This window comes from Homo sapiens, chromosome 5, assembly GCF_000001405.40.
Source record: "Homo sapiens chromosome 5, GRCh38.p14 Primary Assembly".
NCBI classification, from domain to species: domain Eukaryota; kingdom Metazoa; phylum Chordata; class Mammalia; order Primates; family Hominidae; genus Homo; species Homo sapiens.
The window spans coordinates 57,171,763-57,196,689 of record NC_000005.10 but is presented as its reverse complement, the minus strand read 5'-3'; the positions used below and the strand labels follow the sequence as shown (position 1 = coordinate 57,196,689).

General features: G+C 43.2%; 1 protein-coding gene across 4 annotated transcripts in view, besides 11 other annotated features; it reads right to left on the bottom strand.

Annotated features, from left to right (window-relative positions):
- The window catches only part of GPBP1 (GC-rich promoter binding protein 1), a 90,621-nt gene extending 67,990 nt beyond the window's left edge, over positions 1-22,631 (bottom strand). For 2 of the 4 annotated variants that reach the window (NM_022913.4, NM_001203246.2), the window contains exons 1-2: positions 22,479-22,631; positions 20,290-21,242 (exon numbers count right to left, since the gene is read on the bottom strand). The gene's annotated coding sequence lies outside the window, so the exon portion shown is untranslated. Of the gene's footprint in view, positions 1-20,274; positions 21,243-22,478 lie in introns of those variants that run through there. The other 2 variants (NM_001331037.2, NM_001127235.2) reach the window with 2 other exon arrangements.
- Positions 16,788-16,907: an enhancer, noted in NCBI's record as "active region_22581". NCBI's record gives its function as "activates an Ori minimal core promoter by ATAC-STARR-seq in GM12878 lymphoblastoid cells {active_cell/tissue: GM12878}" and the evidence as "EXISTENCE:reporter gene assay evidence [ECO:0000049][PMID:35858748]".
- Positions 20,814-20,863: an enhancer, noted in NCBI's record as "active region_22580". NCBI's record gives its function as "activates an Ori minimal core promoter by ATAC-STARR-seq in GM12878 lymphoblastoid cells {active_cell/tissue: GM12878}" and the evidence as "EXISTENCE:reporter gene assay evidence [ECO:0000049][PMID:35858748]".
- Positions 21,914-22,208: a silencer, noted in NCBI's record as "tiled region #13834; K562 Repressive non-DNase unmatched - State 1:Tss". NCBI's record gives its function as "represses a minimal TATA promoter and a strong SV40 promoter by Sharpr-MPRA in K562 cells {active_cell/tissue: K562}" and the evidence as "EXISTENCE:reporter gene assay evidence [ECO:0000049][PMID:27701403]".
- Positions 21,962-22,101: an enhancer, noted in NCBI's record as "active region_22579". NCBI's record gives its function as "activates an Ori minimal core promoter by ATAC-STARR-seq in GM12878 lymphoblastoid cells {active_cell/tissue: GM12878}" and the evidence as "EXISTENCE:reporter gene assay evidence [ECO:0000049][PMID:35858748]".
- Positions 22,542-22,651: an enhancer, noted in NCBI's record as "active region_22578". NCBI's record gives its function as "activates an Ori minimal core promoter by ATAC-STARR-seq in GM12878 lymphoblastoid cells {active_cell/tissue: GM12878}" and the evidence as "EXISTENCE:reporter gene assay evidence [ECO:0000049][PMID:35858748]".
- Positions 22,542-23,326: a biological region, named in NCBI's record as "Sharpr-MPRA regulatory region 13785".
- Positions 22,574-22,868: an enhancer, noted in NCBI's record as "tiled region #13785; HepG2 Activating DNase unmatched - State 1:Tss, and K562 Activating DNase unmatched - State 1:Tss". NCBI's record gives its function as "activates a minimal TATA promoter and a strong SV40 promoter by Sharpr-MPRA in HepG2 and K562 cells {active_cell/tissue: HepG2 | K562}" and the evidence as "EXISTENCE:reporter gene assay evidence [ECO:0000049][PMID:27701403]".
- Positions 22,739-23,326: an enhancer, noted in NCBI's record as "NANOG-H3K27ac-H3K4me1 hESC enhancer chr5:56469191-56469778 (GRCh37/hg19 assembly coordinates)". NCBI's record gives its function as "activates a minimal SCP1, AML or CMV promoter by ChIP-STARR-seq in naive H9 embryonic stem cells {active_cell/tissue: H9 hESC(naive)}" and the evidence as "EXISTENCE:reporter gene assay evidence [ECO:0000049][PMID:30033119]".
- Positions 22,812-22,921: a silencer, noted in NCBI's record as "silent region_16031". NCBI's record gives its function as "represses an Ori minimal core promoter by ATAC-STARR-seq in GM12878 lymphoblastoid cells {active_cell/tissue: GM12878}" and the evidence as "EXISTENCE:reporter gene assay evidence [ECO:0000049][PMID:35858748]".
- Positions 22,962-23,291: a silencer, noted in NCBI's record as "silent region_16030". NCBI's record gives its function as "represses an Ori minimal core promoter by ATAC-STARR-seq in GM12878 lymphoblastoid cells {active_cell/tissue: GM12878}" and the evidence as "EXISTENCE:reporter gene assay evidence [ECO:0000049][PMID:35858748]".
- Positions 23,803-23,852: an enhancer, noted in NCBI's record as "active region_22577". NCBI's record gives its function as "activates an Ori minimal core promoter by ATAC-STARR-seq in GM12878 lymphoblastoid cells {active_cell/tissue: GM12878}" and the evidence as "EXISTENCE:reporter gene assay evidence [ECO:0000049][PMID:35858748]".

Genomic DNA, 24,927 nt, shown 5'->3' with positions numbered 1-24,927 from the left:
GCCCAGCAAGTCGAGGTTGCAGTGAGCCCTGATTGTTCCACTTTATCACTCCAGCCTGGAAGACAGAGCGAGACCTTGTCTCCAAAAATAAATAAATAAATAAATAGATGATGACAATTTTATTTAAATCCTGGTCCTTTTAGCACCATGAAAGCAAATTTGTTCAGTGGTTATTTGCCATTTATAGCATCTGATGCTACACAACACAAAACAGGTGGAAAACAAAGGTGCACTAAGGTAATGCTTATCCTGAAATTACCAAATGTGAAATCCACCAGATTAAATTTCTCTACTATCAATTTGATAACAAATTAATTCCATAACTGGTTACTTGGTGTTGAAACTCCACATCAGTAAAGAACAGTCGAAAGAAGTCTTGACTCTGAGGCCAGGCATGGTGGCTTATACCTGTAATCTCAGCACTTCTGGGGAAGTTAAGACAGGAGGATCACTTGAGGCCAGGACTTCGAGACCAGCCTGGCCAAAAAGAGAGTCCTTGGCTCTACAAAATATTAAGAAAATAAAACAATAAATCTCGACTTTAAAAACTGAAAGTAGGTAGGCAGAGATAGAAAACACTGACAAGAAGTAACCATCATATGGAAAAGGAAATACTGAGAGCCTATGTGCAGATATCATATTGACTTTTACATATCTCAACCCTTGCAAACAAAAAAAAAAAATTTTTTTTTTTTTTTTTTTTTTTTTTGAGATGGAGTTTCACTCTGTCACGATCTCAGCTCACTACAATCTCCGCCTCTCTAGTTCAGGTGATTCTTCTGCCTCAGCCTCCAGAGTAGCTGGGACTACAGGCGCATGCCACCACGCCCAGGTAATTTTTGTATTTTTAGTAGAGACGGGGTTTCATCACATTGGCCAGGAGGGTCATGAACTCCTGACCTCAGGTGATCCGCCTGCCTCAGCCTCCCAAAGTGTTGGGATTACAGGCGCTCACGAGCCACTGCGCCCAGCCGAAAAACGTATTTTAATATTCATTTCGCAAATAAAAAACCTTCGGGCTTAAAGAGGTTGTGCCTAAGTCATCACAGCTAGCTCCTAATGGCTTCAAATACAAGCAAATACATCTTACTCCAGTCTTTTTTCATCTACATTATGGTACAGAATTCAGTTTTAAAACTACAACTTCGCTAACTACAACAAAATAGGCTTTATAATTTGCATGTCCCAGGCTAATCAACTTCCTAGAATTAGAAAGTAATTAATTAAACAAAATGTTAAGAATAAAATTTCTAGGCCAGACGTGGTACACTTTGGGAAGTCAAGGCAGAAAGACCATTTATGCCCAGGACCTGGAGACCAGCCTGGGCAAAATAGGAAGACTCCATCTCCACAAAATATACAAGAAATTAGCCAGGCATGATGTCATGTGCCTCTAGTCCCAGCTACTGAAGAGGCTGACATGGGAGGACCACTTGAGCCCGGGAGATCAAAGCTGCAGTGAGCTGTGATCATGCCACTGCACTCTAGCCTGGGCAATAAACCCTGTCTCAAAAAGAAAAAAGAACTCAATAGAAAAATGGGCAAAGGATATAAACAAAGTTCAAAGACACTGATCTTATACATGGAAAATTTTTATTCTCATTGCAAAAAAAAAACCCATCCTTAAAAACCTAAAATCAGAGCTGCCATATGATCCAGCAAGCCCACTGCTGGGTATATATCCAAAACAAAGGAAATCAGTATATGGAAAAGATATCTGTATTCCTATGTTTACTGCAGTAATATTCACAACAGCCAAGATATGGAATCAACCTTACTGCCAATCAACGAATGAATGGATACAGAAAACATGGTATGTATATGGCTATGGAATATTATTCAGTCATAAAAAAGAACAAAATCCTGTCGTTTGCAACAACAAGGATGGAACCAGAGGACAGTATGTTAAATGAAATAACCCAGGCACAGAAAAACAAATACTGCCACATTCTCTTATGTGGGAGGTCAAAATCAACTCACAGGTAGAGGAGAATAATGGTTACTAGAGGCTGGGGAGTGGGAAGGTTGGGGAGATAAAGAGCGGGAGGTTAGTTGGTACAAAAATAGAAGGAATAAGATCTAGTATTTGGTAGCACAACAGGGCAACTACAGTTAACAATAATTATATATTTCAAGATAACTAAAATGGAGTTGGAATGTTCCTAATATAGAAAATTATGAATGCTTGAAGTGATATTCCCACTACCCTGATTTGATCATTACACACTGTATGCTTTTATCAAAATATGTGCTCCTTAAATATGTGTAACTATTATTCATCCATAAGTAGAAATATATATATATTTTTTACACAAGGCAAAAATGCCAAACAAAAAGGTCTGATACACCTCATTAGCACTAGAAATATACATTGGTACACCTCTATGGAGAACAACTGGGCATTATCTCAAATTACACTCAGAAATTCACTTACAGGAATTTGCCTTATATTTACGAGAACTATTCACTAGCGCTACTCATAATAGCAAAAAAGAAACAAAAACAAGAAACAGGCTAATATACATCAATAGAGGTCTAGTTATACTAGCATGCAGCCAATAAAAAGAATGAGGTAACTTTACACATACTAATATGGAATAATGTTCTAAGTTCATTAAGTAAAAAAAGACTGTAGAGCAGGGTAGACATGATGCTACTACTTGTATTAGAAAGCAAAAGAATGTGGTTTTATATACATCTCTAAAATACATAAGAAACTAACAGTGGTTTCCGCAGAGGGGAACTGCTAAGAAACAGGATTAAAGGGGTGACTTTCCTCTAAACCTCTTGTGGTACACCTTTTGTAATTTGTGTGCATAAATTCAAAACAATTTTAAATCTTTTTTAGTCTGACTCAATTTTACTGTTTCCTGAATAAACTGTTTTGTTTTTTTCAAATCCTTAAACTCTTAATCCATTTTTTTTCTGAAACTGAGTTAGGCTAAAGACCAATCATCCCAAGCACAGGAAACAAGTTCCAACAATTTAATTTTTTAAACACGCCTAATCCTACGAACCAGATAGCACTAACAAAGACAGAATACTTTTCATAGTTTTTTTTTTTTTTTTTTTTTTTGAGACAGGGTCTCATTCTATTGCCCAAGCTTGAGTGCAGTGGCATGATCTTGGCTCACTGCAACCTCCACCTCCTGGGCTCAAGCGATCTTCCCACCTCAGCCCCGCAAGCAGGTGGGACTACAGGCGCAAGTCACCATGCCCAGGTCGTTTTTGTATTTTTTTGTGGAGATGGGGTTTCATCATGTTGCCCAAGCTGGTCTCAAATTCCTGAACTCAAGTGATCTCCTACCTCGACTTCCCAAAGTGCTGGATTACAGGAGTAAGCCACGGCACTCGGCCTAGGCAGTTTCTTTTTGAGATGGAGTTTCACTCTTGTCACCCAGGCGAGAGCACAAGGGCTCGATCTCGGCTCACTGCAACCTCGGCCTCCCAGTTCAAGCAATTCTCCTGCCTCAGCCTCCTGAGTATCTGGGATTACAGGCACCCACCACCATGCCCAGCTAATTTTTGTATTTTTAGTCGAGACAGGGTTTCACCATGTTGGCCAGGCTGGTCTTCAACTCCTGACCTTAGGTGATCCACTCGCCTTGGCGTCCCAAAGTGCTGGGATTACAGACATGAGTCACCGTGCCCGGCCAACAGTTTCTTTAACATTCATCTCATTTAGTCCTCATCCCATCTCCAGGAGGTTGATGTTACCTTCTTTTCAAAACAAGAAAAATAAGTGTTTATATAAACGTGAAGTCCATTTTAAAGTTCCCAAGGTCAAATAGTAGCTGAAACTCTTAACTGCTCTGGATACATATACATACTGTAAGTAACATAGGATACATCAGACAGAGATCTTATCTAACACAAAACATTAGCCTTCGTAATAGACATGTAAGTAACTCCTAATTTTTTTTTTTTTTTTTTTTTGAGACGGAGTTCCGCTCTCGTTGCCCAGACCGGAGTGCAATGGCGTGATCGCAGCTCACCGCAACCTCCGCCTCCCAGGTTCAAGCGATTCTCCTGCCTCAGCCTCCTGAGTAGCTGGGATTACAGCCATTCACCATCACGCCAGGCTAATTTTGTATTTTTAGTAGAGACGGAGTTTCTCCATGTTGGTCAGGCTGGTCTCGAACTCCTGACCTCAGGTGATCCACCTACCTCAGCCTCCCAAAGTGCTGGGATTACAGGCGTGAGCCACCGTGCCCAGCCAACTCCTAAATTTTAAGTTTTACTCAGGCACTGTCTTACACTACTGCTGTGTCAAAAAGTACAAAATACAGGTCTCAATCACCTAGACAGGTAAAAGATGAGCAATTTGAGCTACCACTGCAATCTAGCGCTATCCCCAAACAGACTACTGTCCTCTCAGCAAATTAAGTACTCAGAAGTACTTAACAGGAAGTACTTAATAGAAATGTGAAACTACCAGTCAAGTTAAAAGAAAAAAATTAAGGCACCCAGCTCAGGTAAGTGCATTTTTCAAGTAGTTTTCAACCTAGCCAGTGTTCCAGAAACAATTTCAACACTCTCCTGAGGATACTCACCTGAAACAGCCTCAAGTTTAGCATCCTTCTAAGAGCTTCAGTAAATAACGTCCTTGCAAGGGATCTATATAACATGTTTTTCTTACATAGAAGGAAAACAAGATCACACAGATAAACTTTGTAACACCAAAAATAATTAAAGCTCTGTGGATATTTATCTGCATTAGTATCCTCCTCAAAGACACACTACAAATGAACTATCATGGTCTCATCTCTGAAAAATGATAAGTCTTAAATTCTGCTCATATATTTCAAAGCCACTCCTTAAAACCTAGACAGGCCGGCGTGGTGGCTCACGCCTGTAATCCCAGCACTTTGGGAGGCAGAGGTGGGCGGATCATGAGGTCAAGAGATTGAGACCATCCTGGCCAACACAGTGAAACCTCGTCTCTACTAAAAATACAAAAATTAGCTGGGTGTGGTGATGCGCATCTGTAGTCCCAGCTACTCGGGAGGCTGAGGCAGGAGAATCACTTGAACCCAGGAGGCGGAGGTTGCAGTGAGCTGAGATCGCACCACTGCACTCCAGCCTGGTGATAGAGTGACACTCGGTCTCAAACAAACAAAAAAAAAAAAAACCTAAAGATAAATGTATTTTGTTTCTTTGAACCTGAGAGCAAAAATTACCTAGGTTTCAAGGCTTCTGACTCAACAGTTCAAAATTGGGGAAATTTTTAAAGGCAAGGGTCACAGTAAACAAATCTTTATGAGATGAGGCAGTCCCTTCAAAAAGCTAAGAGCAAGGCCAGGCACGGCGGCTCACACCTGTAATTCAAGCACTTTGGACAGCAGAAGCAGATGGATCACTTAAGGTCCGGAGTTCAAGACCAGCCTGGCCAACATGGCGAAACCTGCCTCTACTAAAAATACAAAAATTAGCTGAATTAGCTGGTCATGATGGCAAGCGCCTGTTAATTCCAGCTACTTGGGAGCTGAGGCACAAGAATCACTTGAACCAAGGAGGCAGAGGTTGCAGTAAGCCAAGGTTGTGCCACTGCACTCCAGCCTGGGTGACGGAGAATGCCTTAAAAAAAAAAGAAAAGAAAAAAACAGCTAAGAGGAGCCAGGCACAATGGCTCACACCTGTAACCCCAGCACTTGGGGAGGCCAAGGCGGGCAGATCACTTGAACCCCAGAGTTCAAGACAATATGTTTTGCCTAGAGTTCAAGACAACATGTTTTACCTAGAGTTCAAGGCAACATGTTTTGCCTAGAGTTCTAGGCAACATGGCAAAACCCCGTCTCTACCAAAAAATACAAAAATTAGCCAGACATGGTGGTATGTACCTGTAGTCCCAGCTACTCAGAAGGCTGAGGCCGGAAGATTGCTTGAGCCCAGGAGGTCAAGGCTGCAGTGAGCTGTGATAATGGAGCACACTCTAGCCTGGGTGACAGAGCAAGACCTTGTCTCAGGAAAAAAAAAAAAAAAAAAAAAAAAAAAAGCTAACAGCAAATCCAAAGCCAGTCTTGAATCTAGCAGACAAAAAGCTCATATAACAATTTATTTAATTCTAGACACATAAAATAGCTTTTTTCTTTTTTTTTTTTTAACTGAGATGGAGTCTTGCTCTGTCACCCAGGCTGGAGTGCAGTGGCGTGATCTCAGCTCACTGCAACCTCCACCTCCTGGGTTCAAGTGGTTCTCCCGCCTCAGCCTCCCAGTAATTGAGATTACAGGTGCGTGCCAACACGCTCGGCTAATTTTTATACTTTTAGTAGAGATGGGGTTTCACCGTGTTGGCCAGGCTGGTCTTGAACTCCTGACCTCAGGTGATCCACCTGCCTCGGCCTCCCAAAGTGCTGGGATTACAGGTATGAGCCACCACGCCCAGCTGATAAAACAGCTTCTAAATGACATGACAACAAATCAACCCTCCTATAATCCAATAACAAATTCCACCTAGTCCCCAAGCAGTTAAAAATAGCTCTATAATAAAAACAACCATATACACCCAATCCCCCCCCTAAAAAAAAGTAAGGCTAAATTATTTATAGATGTTAATAGTTCTTTTACTGTGCAAATAAGTGCACTGAGACTACAACAGTAAACAAATGAGACAAGGTCCCTGCTCTCAAAGAGCTTATGTGATAAAGACGGGCACAGGGTAAACAAGATAATTATAAGCTGTGCTTTAAGTGAAATAATATAGAATAATAAGAGAAATCAAAGTATTGAATAGAGTGGCCCACTTTACACAAAATGGTTAGAGAATCTCAGAGAAAGTTAGGTTTGAGCTAAAATTGAGCTGACAAGGGAAGAACAGAGAAGAGGGAACAAATATAAAGAAAAATGTCTCGTGTTCAGGTAAGAGAAAGAAGGCCAATGGGCCAGTAAGACAGTAAGCAAGGTTCCAGACAAGGAGAGGGAACAAATAAACAATGCAGATCCTTGCAGGCTATAGAGTATGCATGCTATTTTTAGATCCAATGGAAAGACATTAAAGGGTTTTAAGCACAATAATGACACAATCGAATATCATTTTTAAAGGATCACTGCTCTGTGAATAATGAAATAGAGTACACAATGGTACAGGAATAAAGTTAAAAGGCTACCACAGTAGTTCAAGTGAAAAAAAGTGGGCTGAGCGCAGTGGCTCAGGCCTGTAATCCCAGCACTTTGGGAGGCCAAGGTGGGTGGATCACCACAGGCCAGGAGTTCGAGACCTGCCTGTCCAACATAGTAAAACCCTGTCTCTACTAAAAATACAAAATTAGCTGGGCTGGGCATGGTGGCTCACGCCTATAATCCCAACACTTTGGGAGGCCTAGGTGGGCAGATCACCTGAAGTCAGGAGGTCAAGACCAGCCTGGCCAACATGACAAAGCCCCGTCTCTACTAAAAATACAAAAATTAGCTGGGCACGGTGGCAGGCACCTGTAATCCCAGCTACTCAGTAGACTGAGGCATGAGAATGACCTGAACTGGAAAGTGGAAGTTGCAGTGAACTGAGATAGTGGCAATACATTCCAGCCTGGGGGACAGAGCGAGACTGTCTTCCAAAAAAAAAATTAGCCGGGTATGGTGGTGCATGCCTGTAATCCCAGCTACTTGGGAGGCAGAGGTTGCAGTGAGCCAAGATCACACCACTATACTCCAGCCTAGGCAACAAGAGTGAAACTTCGTCGCAAAGAAAGACAGACAGACAGACAGACAGAAAGAGGCTTGTACAAGTCTAGTAGCAGTGGGATATTAATGAATACATTTAGGAGATTTTGAAGGTAGAACACATAATTTGCTAATGGATTAGATGGGGGGAAAGAAGAAAGCCAAAGATGATTCCCACGTGTTTTAGCCTGAATAAATAGGTAGCTGGTGGAGCCATACTGAGATGAGAAAGAATAGAGAGAGTATGGGGCTAGGAAGTAAGACTGTAGCTTGCCTTTTATTTTTTTTGAGACAATGTCTCGCTCTGTCGCCCAGGCTGGAGTGCAGTGCCACGATCTCGGCTCACTACAACCTCTGCCTGACGTGTTTAAGCAATTCTCATGCCTCAGCCTCCCGAGTAGCTGGGATTACAGGCACCCAATACCATGCCCAGCTAATTTCTGCATTTTTTTTTTTTAAGTAGAGACAGGATTTCACCATGCTGCCCAGGCTGGTCGCAAACTCCCGAGCAATCCACCTGCCTCAGCTTTCCAAAATGCTGGGATTACAGGCGTGAGCCTCCATGTCCAGCCTGAGTGTAGCACTGAACGTTAAATTTTACAGGTAGAGAAGTCAAGACGGCAGTTAAGCTATAAGCCTGGAATATGGAGAGAAGATCTGAACTGGAAATTTAAACTTGAGATCATTTGCATAAATATACCTTTTAAAGCTATGGTATCATACCACAAATTACACAAGTATTATCCCAAGAGTGGAATGCATGTGCTTCAACCATTTTTTTTTTTTTGAGACAGTCTCTCATTCTGTCGCCCAGCCTAGAGTGCAGTGGTGCGATCTCAGCTCACTGCAACTTCCACTTCCTGAGATCAAGCGATTCTCTTGCCTTAGCCTCCTGTGTAGCTGGGACTACAGGCGTGCACAATCATGCCCAGTTAATTTTTGTATTTTTTGGTAGAGATGGGGTTTCACTATGTTGACCAGGCTGGTCTCAAACTCCTGACCTCAAGTGATCCACCCACCTCAGCCTCCCAAAGTGCTGAGATTACAGGCATGAGCCACCAAGCCCAGCCTCGATAATTTTAAATGTCATATATACATATATATTATATATACACAAATACATTATACATATATATATATATATCTGGTTTCTGCTTCTTCTGTCCCTTCAATTTATACTTACCTATGTCCTCCAATTCATAATCTCTCCCTCCTGGTTGATCATATGATATGGTCTTCAACCACTATCACCTGTGACCAGCCACAACACCACTGTCTGTATTATTTTACAATTTCAAAGCATTTAGCATTCATTATTTCACTTGACTTTAATAACAACAACTCTGTGAGGCACTATTTTATAGAGCAAGAATTAAGTCATAAAGACTATGTTGGCCAATATCACATAGCTATTATATAATGTAACAGATGGCATGAAACCATAATTCAAATTCAAGGACTCTTTTTATTCTGTATTCATAGAACTTCACAGCAAACTTCACGGACAGAGGAATCTTACATTTTTGCCTTGTTCACTAGAAAATCCCCAGCACCAACGATACCATAGGCACTCAAACATTTCCTGAGGCAAAGGAAATCTCTAGCACATAATTAGCACTCAAGAGAGAAGAGTCCCAAATCCACTGTTGAGATAATATATCATAGTAAATAAGTTGATACTTTTACATCCTACTTTCTCATTTCCAGTATAGAAATGTTGTCATTTTCTAAGTATGCTCAAGTATGAATTAGATATCTAACATTTCAAGCCACTTAAAAGAAGATTGACATACGAATTCAAGATGACGTTATTTTGCAACAGGTCTTACTTCACACACCCACAAAAACAATTTCCCTGTTGCTCCAAATTTCCTATAAAATATTTTAGAAAATGTAAGACATCCAATGTTAAAGCAGAAAAAAAAATCAAATACTATTTTATTTATGGACTAGCATTCCATAGAATTAGCATAATACATACAAACATACATACACACACACACACACACACACACACACACACACACTTCTCTGAGTCCAGAAATAGACACACATAATTTGATTTTCATCACAGAAATTTCAAGGTGATTCAATGGGAAACAATCTTTTCAACAAATGAAACTTGCACAACTGGACATTTACATGGAAAAAAAAAAATAGGGGTGGTCACAGCGGCTCTCGCCTGTAATCCCAATACTTTGGGAGGCCAACGCAGGAGGATCCCATGAGTCCAGTAATTTGAGACCACTCTGGGCAACACAGTGAGACTCTGTTTCCACACAAAAAAATTTAAAAATCAGCCAGGTGTGGTGGCACATACCTGTAGTCTCAACTACTCAAAAGGATTAGGAGGATCATTCCAGCCCAAGAAGTCAAAGCTGCAGAGACCTGTTAATTACGCCACTGCACTCCAGCCTGGGTGACAGAGTGAGACCCTGTGTACCCCACCCCCCAAAAAGTGAACATCTTTTTATCGCACCACATGCAAAAAATTCAAAATGAATCAAAGACCTAAAAGATAAGAACGAAATTACACAACTTCTACAAGACAGGAGAAAACTCTATGACCTTGGGTTAGGCAATGATTTCTTAGGACACAAAAGCACAAACCATGAAAGAAAAAAAAATTTTTTTTTTTTTTTAAAGAGGCAAGGTCCCGCTCTGTCACCCAGACCAGAGTGCAGTGCCACAATCATAGCTCACTACAGCCTTGAACTCCTGGGTTCAAGCAAACCTGCCACCTTGGTCTCTCAAGTAGCTGAGGTATGCCACCATGCCCACTTAATTTAAATTTTTTGGAGAATAGGCGTCTTAGTATGTTGCCCAGGCTGGTCTTGAACTTCCAGCGTAAAAGGATTCTCCAGCCTCAGCCTCCTAAAGTACTGAGATTAAAGGCATGAGCCACCAGGCATTTTATTTCAGTACTTAAAATTTTTGCTCTTCAAAAGACACTGTATCAAGAAAATGAAAACAAACCACAGTCTGAGAGAAATTATTTGCAAAACATGTATCCAAAATACATGAAGAATTCTCACAATTCGTTAAGACAACCCAATTTTTTTGCCTTTTTTTTTTTAAGACAAGGTTCACTCTCATCGTCCAGGCTGCAACCTCTACCTCCTGGGCTCAAGCCTCTGCAGTAGGTGGGACTGCAGGGGGCACGCCACTGTGCCAGGCTTACTTTTATACTTTTTGTAAAGACAGGTTTTCATCATGTTGCCCAGGCTGGTCTCGAACTCCTGGGCTCAAGCGATCTGCCCACCTCGGCCTCCCAAAGTGCTGGCATTACAGACATGAGGCACCGTGCTCAGGCCCCAGTTTTTTTTTTAAACAGGCAAAATATTTGAACAGACACTTCACCAAAACACACGGAAAGATGCTATCATTATTAGGGAAATGCAAATTAAAGACATAATGCTAATTCCAACTATACACAAGGGTTAAAATTTAAAAGACATAACTAGCCAGGCGTAGTGGCTCACGCCTGTAATCCCAGCACTGCAGGAGGCTGAAGGGGGTGGATCATCTGAGGTCAGGAGTTCCAGACCAACCTGACCAATATGATGAAACCCCGTTTCTACTAAAAATACAAAAATTCAAAAATTAGCCGGGCATTGTGGCATGTGCCTGTAATCCCAGCTACTCAGACGCTGAGACAGGAGAATCACTTAAACCCGGTAGGCGGAGGTTGCAGTGAGCCGAGATTGCCCCATTGCACCCCAGCCTGGGCAACAACAGCAAAACTCTGTCTTTAAAAAAAAAAAAAAAAAAAGACCTAACCAAAGATGGTTGCCAAAAACAAATTTTAAAGAGGGCTGGTGATAACAACTAACACCCATTGCTGGTGGGAAGGCACACAATTCACATGACCCGGGCAGTTCTGCTAGGGATTTTCATATGAGAAATGAAAACTTAAGTCCACACCAAGTCCTATGCACAAGTGTTCCTATTCACTTTATTTGCAACAGTCAAAAACTGGAAACAAACAAAATGTCTCTGAACGAGAGAACTGATAAACAAATTGTGGTATAACCACACAAGAGAATACTATTTAGCAATAATAAAAATCAACTAAGATGTCCCCACAGGGAGTTAATAAATAAAATGAAATAAAAACATCAACTATAATACATGAAACAACATGCATGAAAGGCTAATCCACTGTATAATTCCTTTGACATTCCGGAAAATACCCAATAGGAAAGGACATCGATACTAAACAGACTGGGACTTTACAGGGACTGACGATGATGGGTGAGGACACAAGGTAACTTTTTGGGGTGATGAAAATATTCTATATTCTGATTCTGCAGTTACACAACTGTATACACTTTAAAGAATTTTCTTGTCATTGATGCAGTTTGGATGTCTGTCCCATGAGATATCCAATGTGATCCCCAATGTTGAAGGCGGCACCTAGTGCCAGGTGTTGAACTGTGCAAGCGGATCCCTCCTGAAGGGCTTAGCACCAACCCCTTGGTGATGAGTTCTTGCTGATAGTTCACCAGAGAGCTGTTTAAAGAGTGTGTGGCACCTCCCCCCTCACCTCACTCTTGCTCCCTCTTGCCATGTGACATGCCTGCTCCAGTTATGCCATTATTGTAAGCTCCCTGAGGCCTCACCAGAAGCCAAGCAGATGCCACTACCAAGATTCCTACACAGCCTGCTGAACCAAGAGCCAATAAAACCATTTTTCTCTATAAATTATCCAGTCTCAGGTGTTTCTTCAAAGCAACACAAAAACAGACTAACAAAGTTATGTACATTACACCCCAATAAACCTAATTTTTTTTCCCTTTGAGACAGTGTCTCAATCTGTCACCCAGGTTGGACTGCAGTGGCACGATCTCGGCTCACTGCAACCTCCATCTCCCAGGTTCAAGTGATTCTCCTGCCTCAGCCTCCCAAGTAGCTGGGATTACAGGTATGCACCACCACGCCCGGCTAATTTTTGTATTTTTAGTAAAGACAGGGTTTCACCATGTTGGCCAGGCTGGTCTCAAATTCCTGGGTTCAAGCGATCCACCAGCCTCAGCCTACCAAAATTCTGAGACATGGCAGAAGCCCATCTCTACAAAAAATAAAAAATTCGCTGGACATGGCAGCACTCACCTGTGGTCCCAGCTACTTAGAAGGCTGATGTGAAAGAAAGGATCACCTGTGTCTGGGAGGTCGAGGCTGCAGCAAACTGTGATGGCACCACTGCCCTCCAGCCTGGGTGATAGAGTGAGACCCTGTCTCCAAAACAAAAAAAAAAAAAAAAAATTCATATCCCCCCCGTATTAAAAAATATTAGCTATCAACTCTTGAAATGTTAATTTTAATACAAAAACATAGACTAGTATTTCCCTTATACTACACTTTCATCGTAATTCTTTTTTTGAGATGGGGGGGCGGTTCTTGTTTGGTGCATAGGCTACAGTGCAGTGATACAATCATAGCTCACTGACATCTTAAATTCCAGGACTCAAGTGACCCTCCCACCTCAGCCTCCCAAGTAGCTGGGACTACAAGGCGCACTACTGACCTGGGCTAATTTCTAAATTTCCTGTGCTGGATTACAGGCGTGAGCCACAAGCCAAGCCCAGATTCTCAGTTTCGGAGAAAGGATAACTTAAGAGTTGTACATATGTTTGTATGTATGTATGTTTTTATTTATTTAGAGACAGAGTTTTTACTCTTGTCACCCAGGCTGGAGTGCAATGGCATGATCTCGGCTCACTGCAACCTCTGCCTCCTGGGTTCAAGCGACTCTCCTGCCTCAGCCTCTCAAGTAGCTGGGATTACAGGCATGTGCCACCACGCCCAGCTAATTTTTTGTATTTTTATTAGAGACGGGGTTTCGCCATGTTGGTCAGGCTGGTCTTGAACTCCTGACCTCAGGTGATCCACCCGCTTCAGCCTCCCAAAGTGCTGGGATTACAGGCATGAGCCACCATGCCTGGCAACTAAGAGTTTTAAAAACTTATTCTTGCATGAAAAGTGTAGGAAAAAAATTGAAATATGGCTTTAAAATATAATTTGAAAACTGAATTAAGAATTAAAGGGGGCCAGACGCAGTGGCTCATGCCTGTAATCCCAACAGTTTGGGAGGCCAAGGCAGGAGGAACACTTGAGATTAGGAGTTCGAGACTAGCCTGGGAAACATAACAAGACTCTCTCTCTACAAAATAAAAAAAATTAGCCGAGCATGGTGACATGCGCCTATAGTCCCAGCTACTTGGGAGGCTGAGGCAGGAGGACTGCTTGAGCCTAGGAGGTCGAGATGGCAGTGAGCCGTGACTGCACCACTGCACTCCAGCCTGGGTGGCAGAGTGACACTTTGTCTCAAAAATAAATAAATAAGAATTAAAGAGAAGAAGCCGAGTGCGGTGGCTCACGCCTGTAATCCCAGCACTTTGGGAGGCTGAGGCAGGTGGATCACGAGGTCAGGAGTTCAAGACCAGCCTGGCCAACATGGTGAAACCTCATCTCTACTAAAAATACAAAAATTAGCTAAGTATGGTGCCAGGCGCCTATAATCCCAGCTACTCGGGAGGCTGAGGCAGGAGAATCACTTGAACCCGGGAGTTGGAGGTTGCAGTGAACCGAGATCGCACCACTGCACCCCAGCCTGGGCGACAGAGTGAGACTCCATCTCAAAAAAAGGCCAGGCACAGAAGCTCATGGCTATAATCCCAGCACTTTGGGAGGCTGAGGTGGGCAGATCACTTCAGGTCAGGAGTTCAAGACCAGCCTGGTCAACATGGTGAAACCCCATCTCTACTAAAAATACAAAACTTAGCCAGGCCTGATGGCAGGTGCCTGTAATCTCAGCTACTAGGGAGGCTGAGGCAGAAGCAGCACTTGAGCCTGGGAGGTGGAGGTTGCAGTGAGCCAAGATCATGCCACTGCACTCCAGCCTGGGCAAGAGGGAGACTCCGTCTCAAAAAATTTATAAAATAATTAAAGGGAAGAAAATGGAAAGACCAAAAGCACTGCACCCACCAAGCTGTGAACAAAATAATAACTAAAGACCAAGAAACTAAATGACATATCTTGTATATAAAAAGATGCAGAAACTAGCAATTATCTGCAGGGTTATACAGCAAATCTGTTAACTATTGTGATGGGTGGGACAGCTGACAAAATGGGAAAAGCAAGCAGGTAAAAACTGAAAAACAGTCACAACCACAAAACAGTTTACCAGTAACCACTAACATTTTGTTTTTCAACATTTCTGTTGAAGGTAATGGACCTTTCCAGAAAAATGCACTGAAATGCCCACAAAATTATCAATTTCAAAGAATTCTCAGAAACCACTGTCTCGGCCTGGCATGGTGGCTCACACCTGTAATTCCAGCACTTTGGGAGGCCGAGGTGGGTAGAACACCTGAGGTCAGGAGTTTGAAAAGAGATGTATTCCCTGCCCCCGCACCGCCCCCCCACCTTTTTTTTAAATGTTCCCTAGGCTGGTTTCAAACTCCTGGGCTCCAGTGAGCCTCGTGCCTCAGGCTCCCAAAGTATTAGGATAATAGGCATAAGCCACCATGCCCTGCCCCCTCACCCCTTTTTTAAATAGTATTTTGTATGTCAGAGGTTCTTTTTTTTTTTTTTGACACAGTCTTGTCACCCCAAGCTGGAGTGCAGTGTCGCGATCGCAGCGCCAAAAATACCGAGGCATCCGGCCTCATCTCTTTAATTCTTATTCATTTTTGAGGCAGGGTGTCACTCTGCAACCCAGGCTGGAGTGCAGTGGTGCAATCACCGCTCACTGCCATCTCGACTTCCTAGGCTCAAGCAGTCCTCCTGCCTCAGCCTTCCAAGTAGCTAGGACTACAGGCGCATGTCACCATGCTCAGCTAATTTTTTTTATGTTTTGTAGAGAGACAGTCTTGTTATGTTTCTCAGGCTAGTCTCGAACTCCTAATCTCAAGTGTTCCTCCTGCCTTGGCCTCCCAAACTGTTGGGATTACAGGCATGAGCCACTGCACCTGGCCCCCTTTAATTCTTAATTCAGTTTTCAAACTATATTTTAAAGCCATATTTAAATTTGTTGAGGTGGGTGGATCACCTGAGATCAGGAGTTGGAGACCAGCCTGACCAACATGGGGAAACCCCATCTCTACTAAAAATTCAAAAATTAGCTGGGCGTGGTGGTGGGCACCTGTAATCCCAGCTACTTGAGAGGCTGAGGCAGGAAAATCGCTTGGACCTGGGAGGCGGAGGTTGCAATGAACTGAGATTGTGCCATTGCACTCCAGCATGAGTGACAGAGCGAGACTCTGTCTCAAAACAAAAAACCCCAAAAAAATCTTTACATCTGTATTACACTTCACAATTTACAAAAACCCTCCATATATATTTCCATCAGTATAATGAAGAAACTAAGGCCAAAAAAAGTTAGGTGAACATACAGTCACACAGGCATTTTTCTAGATATTCCATATCCTAAACCAAGTTCCCTTCCAAACCCTCAGCCATGACCCTTTTTCTACATCAGTACCTTACCTGGATCTAAACGTTACCTAAACATTGATAGATCTAAACGTTGTTACCTAAACATTTGATAAACATTTTTATCAAAAAAGAAACAGAAAAGATGGTTTGGTTAAACAAAGTTAAATAATCTGACCAGGTGCAGTGGCTCACGCCTATAATCCCAGCACTTTGGGAGGCTGAGGCAGGTGATCATCTGACCTGAGGTCAGGAGTTCGAGACCAGCCTGGCCAACATGACAAAACCCCATCTCTACAAAAAATACAAAAAATTAGCTGGGCATGGCAGCGGGGACCTGTAACCTCAGCTACTTGGGAGGCTGAGGCATAAGAATCACTTGAACCCGGGATGCGGATGTCACAGTGAGCAGAGATTGTGCCACTGCTTTCCAGCCTGGGTGACAGCAAAACTCCGTCTCAGAAAAAAAAGTTAAATAATCTGGCCTGGTTTTAAACTCTATCCTCACTTGCTTATTTTACTTTCAGATTAGAAGTCCTCCTCAATTACCCCTTTCTTGTAACTCTCCCCAGTTTTTTTTTTCCTGCTCACTCTTCCTGTTCTTTCCCCATTACTCCTCCCTTCCTCAATTTTAACATATCAGCAGCTTCAAGCACAAAAATCCATGTAACTATTTCAATTCAAAAACAGAGACAAGGGGCCGGGCCCAGTGGCTCTCACCCATAATCCCAGCATATTGGGAGGCAGAGGTGGACAGACATCTGAAGTTAGGAGTTTGAGAACAGCCTGACCAACGTGGTGAAATCCCGTCTTCTAAAAATACAATATTAGCCAGGCCTGGTGGCACATGCGGGTAATCCCAGCTACTCAAGAGGCTGAAGGGGCAGGAGAATCGCTTGAACCGGGGAGGCAGAGGTTGCAGTGAGCCAAGATCACGCCATTGCACTCCACCCTCAGCAACAACTGCGAAACTCTGTCTCAAAAAAACCCAAAAAAACAACAAAAAAAAGACAAGGTAAAACAAAGCTATGCATTTAGCTCCATGCCTGTGGAAACAGGCTATGGGTGAAAGAAAAATACAAGGCCAGGCACTGTGGTTTAGGCCTGTAATCCCAGCACTTTGAGAGGCCAAGGCAGGAGGAACCCTTAACCCCAGGAGTTCGAGGTTGCCTGAGCTACAATCGTGCCATTACACTCCAATCTGGGTGAGAGAGCGAGACCCTGTCTCAAACACACACACACACACAATTTTAGCTAACCAAAGGTATCACCCAAATAGTTACTGCAAATAGCAAAACAGTAATATCTCTTAGTTTATTTCCAAACTCCATTAGCAGTCTGTAATCAACATCAACCAAAGAGAAGCAGTACATGAAAAGAAAAAAATATCAAAGATAATGTTCAAATAAATGAATTAGTAAAGTAAAATCCCCAAGAAGGCAGTGTAAGTATGGCATAGTGCTGAGTATGTGCTCTGGAGTCAGACTGCTTGAACATTTATTTGGTCAAGATTACAATTCTAACAAAGTAACTTTCTCCCAGTCTCAGCCCCCCTAAATCCTAATTTTCTCATCAGTACCACAGTGACTATAATAGTACTTTCCTCACGGGATTAAGAATTAATTAAAATATGCCACATAAATTACACAGCAAAAAAACCATCATCATCTATAAATGTTAGCCACTATGATTATTATTTTTAGACCTACAGTTTAGAAAGGGACAAAAAAGCAAAATATAAAGAGTAGAAAAGATAAAAGGAAAAGTGGTGTTAACTTCTGGGGAAAAGCAGCGTCCAGCAATAGTTCCAATTACCAACGGATGCAACTATTTATTCCAATCTCCAGAAAAATAAAATACTGAAAATATCTGTCAAAACGTTCAAGTAAATCTGTCCTTGAAGAACTGCTGTACGCAAAGTTGACAAATGTTATAGACTATTCACAGATTAAAGTTAATTGCTAAAAACTCTGATCTCTGGAGTAATCTTTATCCTAACACTACTGCTTAGATTAACAATATCAGTAATGGCAATTTAGAAGAAAACAAGGCTGGACGCAGTGGCTCAGGCCTGTAATCCCAGCACTTTGGGAAGTGGAGGCAGGTGAATCATCTGAGGTCAGGAGTTCAAGGCCAGCCTGACCAACACGGTAAAACCCTGTCCCTACTAAAAATACAAAAAATTAGCTGGGCGTGGTGGCGGGCACCTGTAATCCAAGCTACTGGCGAGGCTGAGGCAGAATCGCTTGAACCCAGGAGGCGGAGGTTGCAGTGAGCCGAGACTGCGCCACTGCACTCTAGCCTGGGCACGCGACAGAGCAAGAGTCCGTCTCAAAAAAAGAAAAAATCACAAATAATAAATATTATGTAGTTTTCTAGAAGAATGATCGTTTGACTCCAGTTCAACTTAATCTTATTTAAGATGCATATTGTTAAGCAACTTGAAAAGTCATTGAATTGAGGAATGAACAAAATACATGCTCTCCCAAGTGAAAGGGTGTGGAATGTTCTCACCGATTTTATAAATCAAGGTAGACACTCAATTAGAATTACTACACACAGGTCTGACAGAGAAAACACATATAACCTAGTCTATTATAACAAAGGGAAACACTGAACTCTCTAATATCAATTTCAGAGAAAAAAAACTCTATTTTACATTTACTACCACTTTCACTCTATGGGAGCTAGCAGGATTCAACAGTTTAAGCAAAAAAAAAATTGGTTCAAAATAAGCAACTGACAAGTTATGATGTTAGGCCATCTTGGTAAAGAGTTCAAAAATTGCAATCTCAGCCGGGCGCGTGGGCTCAGGCCTATAATCCCAGCACTTTGGGAAGCCAAGGCGCAAGGATCACCTGAGGTCAAGAGTTCGAGGCTAGCCTGACCAACAAGGTGAAAACCCAGGTCTCTACTAAAAAAAAAAAAAAAAAAAAAAAAAAAAAAGGCAAAAATTGGCCGAGCGTGGTGGCGGGCACCTGTAATCCCAGCTACTTGGGAGGCTGAAGCAGGAGAATCGCTTGAACCCGGGAGGCGGAGGCTGCAGTGAGCCAAAATCATGCCATTGTACTCCATCCTGGGCAACAAGAGCGAAACTCGGTCTCAAATAAAAATTAGTCTTTCGTCTCAGAAAGACAATTAATTGAAATACCCTCTAATTTTAGTTATACTCGTGTTCACTAATATTAACTGCCTAAAAATTAAATTTTGTCATTAGTCAAAGAGAAAAAAAAATTAAATTTTAGTGTATCTCTTTAAAAAACATTAAATGCCTATGATTCACCGAAAAATTAAATGTAGTAACTAACGGTAACTAAAAACACCGTTTAATCCTGAAAAATACAAACATTAAACGATAACTCTCTCACCTGTCAAAACAATTTCTATTATAGCAATTAATTCACAACTTTTTTTAAAAAAAAGCTTTGCTTACAAACTTAGGCCAGCATAACCTCTTGAGTGGAAAAAAAAATGTATACTCATATTTTCTTAAGTTATTTTAAAGGTTCTTAATTCAGCTTGCTCAGTTCCTCTGAGCTTCTGGTCCTGGTAATACCCTCTTTTTTTGAAAGTAAAGAAATAATTTGAAATACAAAACCATTTCAACAAAACTATTTCAAAAACTTAATTTCTATAACGGATTAATATGTTAGGAACAACTATGCCTTAAACCAAGCTAGTTCATGAAATACATTAAGAACTACTACCTGTAATATAACCAAACTATGTAACTCCAAATGCAACACTAAACTGCATTTGGAATGCAGTCTAAACTCACATTTGCAAAGTCAACTGGCTACCAAGGCACACGCATTTAGAATACAAACTGGCTAGGAAGACACGTGGTGAATTATTTGTTGCATTTTTTCCTACCTTTCTACCACTGTGAATGAATCTTCAAAGCCTAAGGCAATATATACCGGCCATACGAATTTAGCTTTTTACTTAAAAAGCGCAAAAACTTGTAGCTTAGGACTGTTTGAATCTGAAAAGTTCCTAAGCCTTAAACGTTTTTTCTGAATTTCAGTTTACTCAGACAATGGTTAATAGTTGTTTTCAGACTGTCAAGGAAACTGAAACCAAGCAATGTTACTGCAAGAAACTGAAAGGCTTCCGAGAATAACATAGGATAAACTCAACTCTGATTACAGTTTACAAATGAACATTTGATTTGCTCACCATAATAGTACTTACAAATTCCAACAGGACTGCACAGGAAGGTGTTGGTTTTTTCTCTGTAATCTTTATTTTCCAGTTTGTATTTTTATTTTGTATCCTCTGAAATAATATCGAAGTTCTTTGAAGATACTTAACCTACGACTATTTGACATAGAGTTACTTCAAGTCAGCTACCCATACTTCTGTTTTAAAGTTTTCATATGGCTATCTCCCGAATTAGCCAAGTTCTTTAGATTTAAGATCAAAGTCTTCTTTATTATTCCATGTACTTGCCACTGTTGTACTTGTCCACTCCAGATGAAATATCCAATTTACGAGCCAAAAAGCAAAAACAAAAAGAAAATTTCACATCTGAAGAGCATTCCTAAACATCAGCATATACAGAGACACACATAGCTATCTCAATACTACCATGCTGCCGGAAAACTGCAACATCTTAAATTTCCACGTAAATAAAAGATAAAAGGAAAAAAACTCTGTATTCTTTCAATCTCTTCATTCAGAAAAAGTGTCCCATTGTGACATGAAAGAGCTGAAGTCAAAAATTCCTAAAACTTTCAATAAAGGTAAAAATAAACTGCCATGAAACTTCAGCAATACTCAGTCATTTGAAACTGCTGAAACTACTCAGTACACAAATCAACGTCTCTCAGTTTCGGCTGAAGAACCCCAACAACGGGGTGGGGGAAGGGGAGGCAAAAATTACCACCAGCTGAAATACTGTAACCAGTTATATAATCCGTTTGAACCAAAATACTGAAGAAATGCTGCCTGGGTCTCTTTTTAAGTAGCTTGCTGAATTGTTCACTACTATCAATTCACTTCACAGACGATTCTTGCCAATTTTAATAAACTTCTGGGGCAAAATTATCCAAAAACACTGTAAATCCAAAATGGCCACTTAAAATATCCAGGGCCTTTTACACAAAACCTAGATGATGATCTTCATATCTGAGTAATTCAATCACCTGTAAAAGTTATAAAAAAAATTATATACTGAGTTTTGATTTTGAGCTAAAAAAATCAATCCCCAACTTAAAAAGTCAACCTCTGGAGAGAAAATCACTTCTATATAACCCTACAGGAGCCTGGAAAAGGGCTTCTTTACCCAAGCAAGCACCCGATAAAAGTCTACTGAATGAACAAGACATCGGAGTAGAGGGAGGGAAAAACGGTAGGTGACGGTATTATGGAGGGCAAGGGCAGATTTCACCTGGGAAGGGGTGCAGATCCCATACTGGGGAATTATATAAGCAAACCTTCTTATACTTCTTGAATAAATTTTAAAACTATGAAATTGACACATAATCTTACAAAAGATCTCCAACCCTCTTCGATGGACCAAGGAAAGCGAAGACAGGTGTGCTGCCACGGAGTATTAGCGAATGTAACTCAGAGATAAGTGTAAAGAGAAAGAGGCTCCCTCCAAATCAGAACGTCTACTAGAGGAGGCATATTCCCACCCAGTAAGGCCAGAAAGGTGAACTAGAAGTAGGGCAAACCCGCTTCTTAAATTCTCCCGAGGAGACTTCCCCACTTCTGAGGGAGCAAAGGGCTAGAAGGTGTAGGTTTCCACTTCCTCGAATTAAGAAAACAGGTTTCTCCCAAAACTGAGGGGGTGGAAGGTACAGGGCCCTTTTCGTAAACCAAAGAATGGTTCTCTCTCAAAAATGCACATGTCCCCTCAGACCCCACAGGACTCAAAGGAACAAAGTAGCCTTCGCCCCAGTCCACGGCAAGTGCCACGGACCTGGGAGAGGCGGGGAAAGCTGAGGCGCTGCTGAAGAAACCGCCGAAGGCCACAACTCGGCCTCGACTCCCTCAGCCCTGAGAAGGGTAGTGGTGCAAAACCAGGCGGGCGTGTGCAAGAGGCCGGGGGAAGGAAGGCCGAGCACTGAGAGCGTCGGACTCGCTCCCAGCCTCCGCCAAACGCCAAACACCCCCCAACCAAGCCGCCGGGGCTAAACCACCCACCCCCTCCTCACAACCACCACCTCCGCTCCACCCGGGCCGAGTCAATACCTAGAGGGGCCTATCTGCGCCTCTCCCCCCTCTCACTCCTTGCTTCTCGCCGCCCCTCCGTCGGCGGGCAGCCTCACACCTCGCGCCACCAACGCCGCTCCCGACCCCTCAAACCCCAACACGGACACGGGCACTCCCCTCCTCCCCCGGGCTCGGGCGTGGAGCCTAGAGGACGGTGTTACCTTCTGCCCCACCAGAGGTGCCCCTGGCCTGGGGGTGCCGCCGCGCCTGATCCCGGGAGAAGGTTTTCGGTACTTTGAATAATCCCCTTTTGCCGCTTTTCCCTCCCCCACAACCAGTCTCAGTCCCAAAATGGCGCCGACCCGATCCGCAATGTTCTGGGCCAAGTCTCGCGAGATCGTGCACAGTGGCGAGGCGGGGAAGGAACTAGAGGGATTGAGGAGGGAGGGAAGGCGGGGCGAGGAGAAGGAGGGAGAAAGAGTGTGGAAGAAGCGGTGCGAACGAACCTACTGGGCGGGACACCAGGAAGAGCGCCTCCACCAGAGAACCTTCTGGCCCAAGCAACCGCTCACGCCGCGGTCAAAGAAGCTCCGCCCTCTACGTCGGGCGCCTGGGGGGAGGGGGAGAAGGCGTGGCTAAGGCTGGGGGCGGGGCTTCGAGGAGGCCCCGGAGCAGGGGCGCGCGGGGGGCGGTGGCTCCACGCGGTGACGTCAGGAGCAGCTGGAGTCGGGGATTACCCCCTGCTGCTGACGTGAGGACGGTGAACAATCGGGAACGTTCGGTGGAAGGGGGAATTCCCCGCCGCTCCCTGAGGAGCCCCTCCTCCCGCACCTCCCCCCGTCCGGGGCTGCCTCGGAGTCCGGGCTGGTGGGGCTGCGCAGAGGGCGAGAGGGGGGTGCTGCGCCGGGAAGCGGCCGCGCAGGCTCGAGTGGCGCGCGCCGCAGCGTCTTCCCCAGCTCTAAGCTCCCGAAGCTGCGCCGCAGCTCCTCCGAGCTTCAAGCTGCGGAAGACGCTGCGGCGCACGCCCTTCGCCGGGTACCCCGCTTGGGCCTCGCGCTCGGGCCTGGGTGAATCGGCGCTCACACGGCGCCTATGCTCAGCTCTGCGCAGGCGGAACATCTGCCGAGCCGGCGCCGGAGCGGTAGGGCACGCTGAGGGGATGCTCCACCGTGGCATGCGAACGCGGACTGTGTCAGGCATGAGAACGCGGGAGCCCTGCGGCTGAGGAAAGCAGACGTGCGGGGAGCCAAGCCCAGACTCTCAAGAGGGTAGAAATGGCTACTAGGTATAATCATGCTAATTATTTTTCTTTCTACTAAATCTGCAGTAGGTGAATTATTTCAACAGCCAGAGTATCAGAACCACAGAGCCCATTCGAGATTTTTAAAAATCAGTATTACCGTGTTCAAAGTTGTTTCTCTAATTGTGACACCTTTTCGCCTTATAACCGTAGCCTCACTTTAACACCTGGGAAGTTGGCATTCTATGAAAAAGAAAAATCACATTTGTTTAGAGGGAAGGTGGGGAGAGGTTGTCTCAAAGAGGGAAAGTCTGGAAAATAAAGATATTTGGCTGTTCGCCCTCCCCTAAGCCACAAGGACTTCATAACGTAGAAATTTTATGGTAGTTGTACATGCATTATGGGGTTTGTAGTTTAATGGAATGTTTCTAGAAGATACCTGAAAAACGGGTGGAACGTAAACTCACCAAAATTTACCGTCCCCAACCTTCTGTTTTAATCTTTATCGGGAGTTGGCCACTTTAAGCAATTAATAATGCCCCTCTGCGGGGCAGAGGAAAGGGAATTAACACTTGCTGGATGCCTTGCCCGTGCCGGGCATTTTAATGCTTGTATCACCCTCTGGGGTGGGTACTATTTTGCAGATAAGGAAACAGGATGAGATTGACGTGTTTAACGTTACAGAATATGGAAGTTGGGCGCCACAACTTGGCTGTACCACATTTAAACTCAAGTCTATTAGGGGCTTGATCCACTTTCTTTTCTCTACACCACATTGTTTCCGTATAAGCAACTTATGTGTCGGGAGAGGACCTGCTCGTGCTTTTATGTGTAAGCATGATATCAAACCAAGAAAAAATAAAGGAAACAAAAAAAAAAACCCAAGGATAAAACTGATAACTTAGACACACAATTTGTGCCTTTCATGTGACAGAAGACACTATAAAGTCGAACAACTGGTAGTGAAACAGAGAAACAATTGTAGTAAATCACAAGCAAGTTAATATTTATATTCGATTACCATCCTTAGCGTATGTTTTATTTGCATAAGAAAATATAAAGAGCTCTTACAAATTATTAAGAAAAAGATAACACCCACTCTTTTAAAAAGTGAAGGGCGGACCAGTCGCGGTGACTCACGCCTGTAATCCCAACACTTCAGAAGGCTGAGGCTGGAGGATCACCTGAGGTCGGGTGACCAACACAGCGGAAACCCCCTCTCTACTAAAAATACAAATATTAGCTGGGCGTGGTGGCGGGCACCCATAGTCCCAGTTACTAGGGAGGGTGAGGTATGAGAATCGCTTGAACCCAGGAGGGAGAAGTTGCAGTGAGCCAAGATTGCACCACTGCACTCAAGTCTGGGCGACAGAGTGAGACCCTGTCTCAAAAAAAAAAGTTTAGCCCCGGGCGCGGTGGCTCACGCCTGT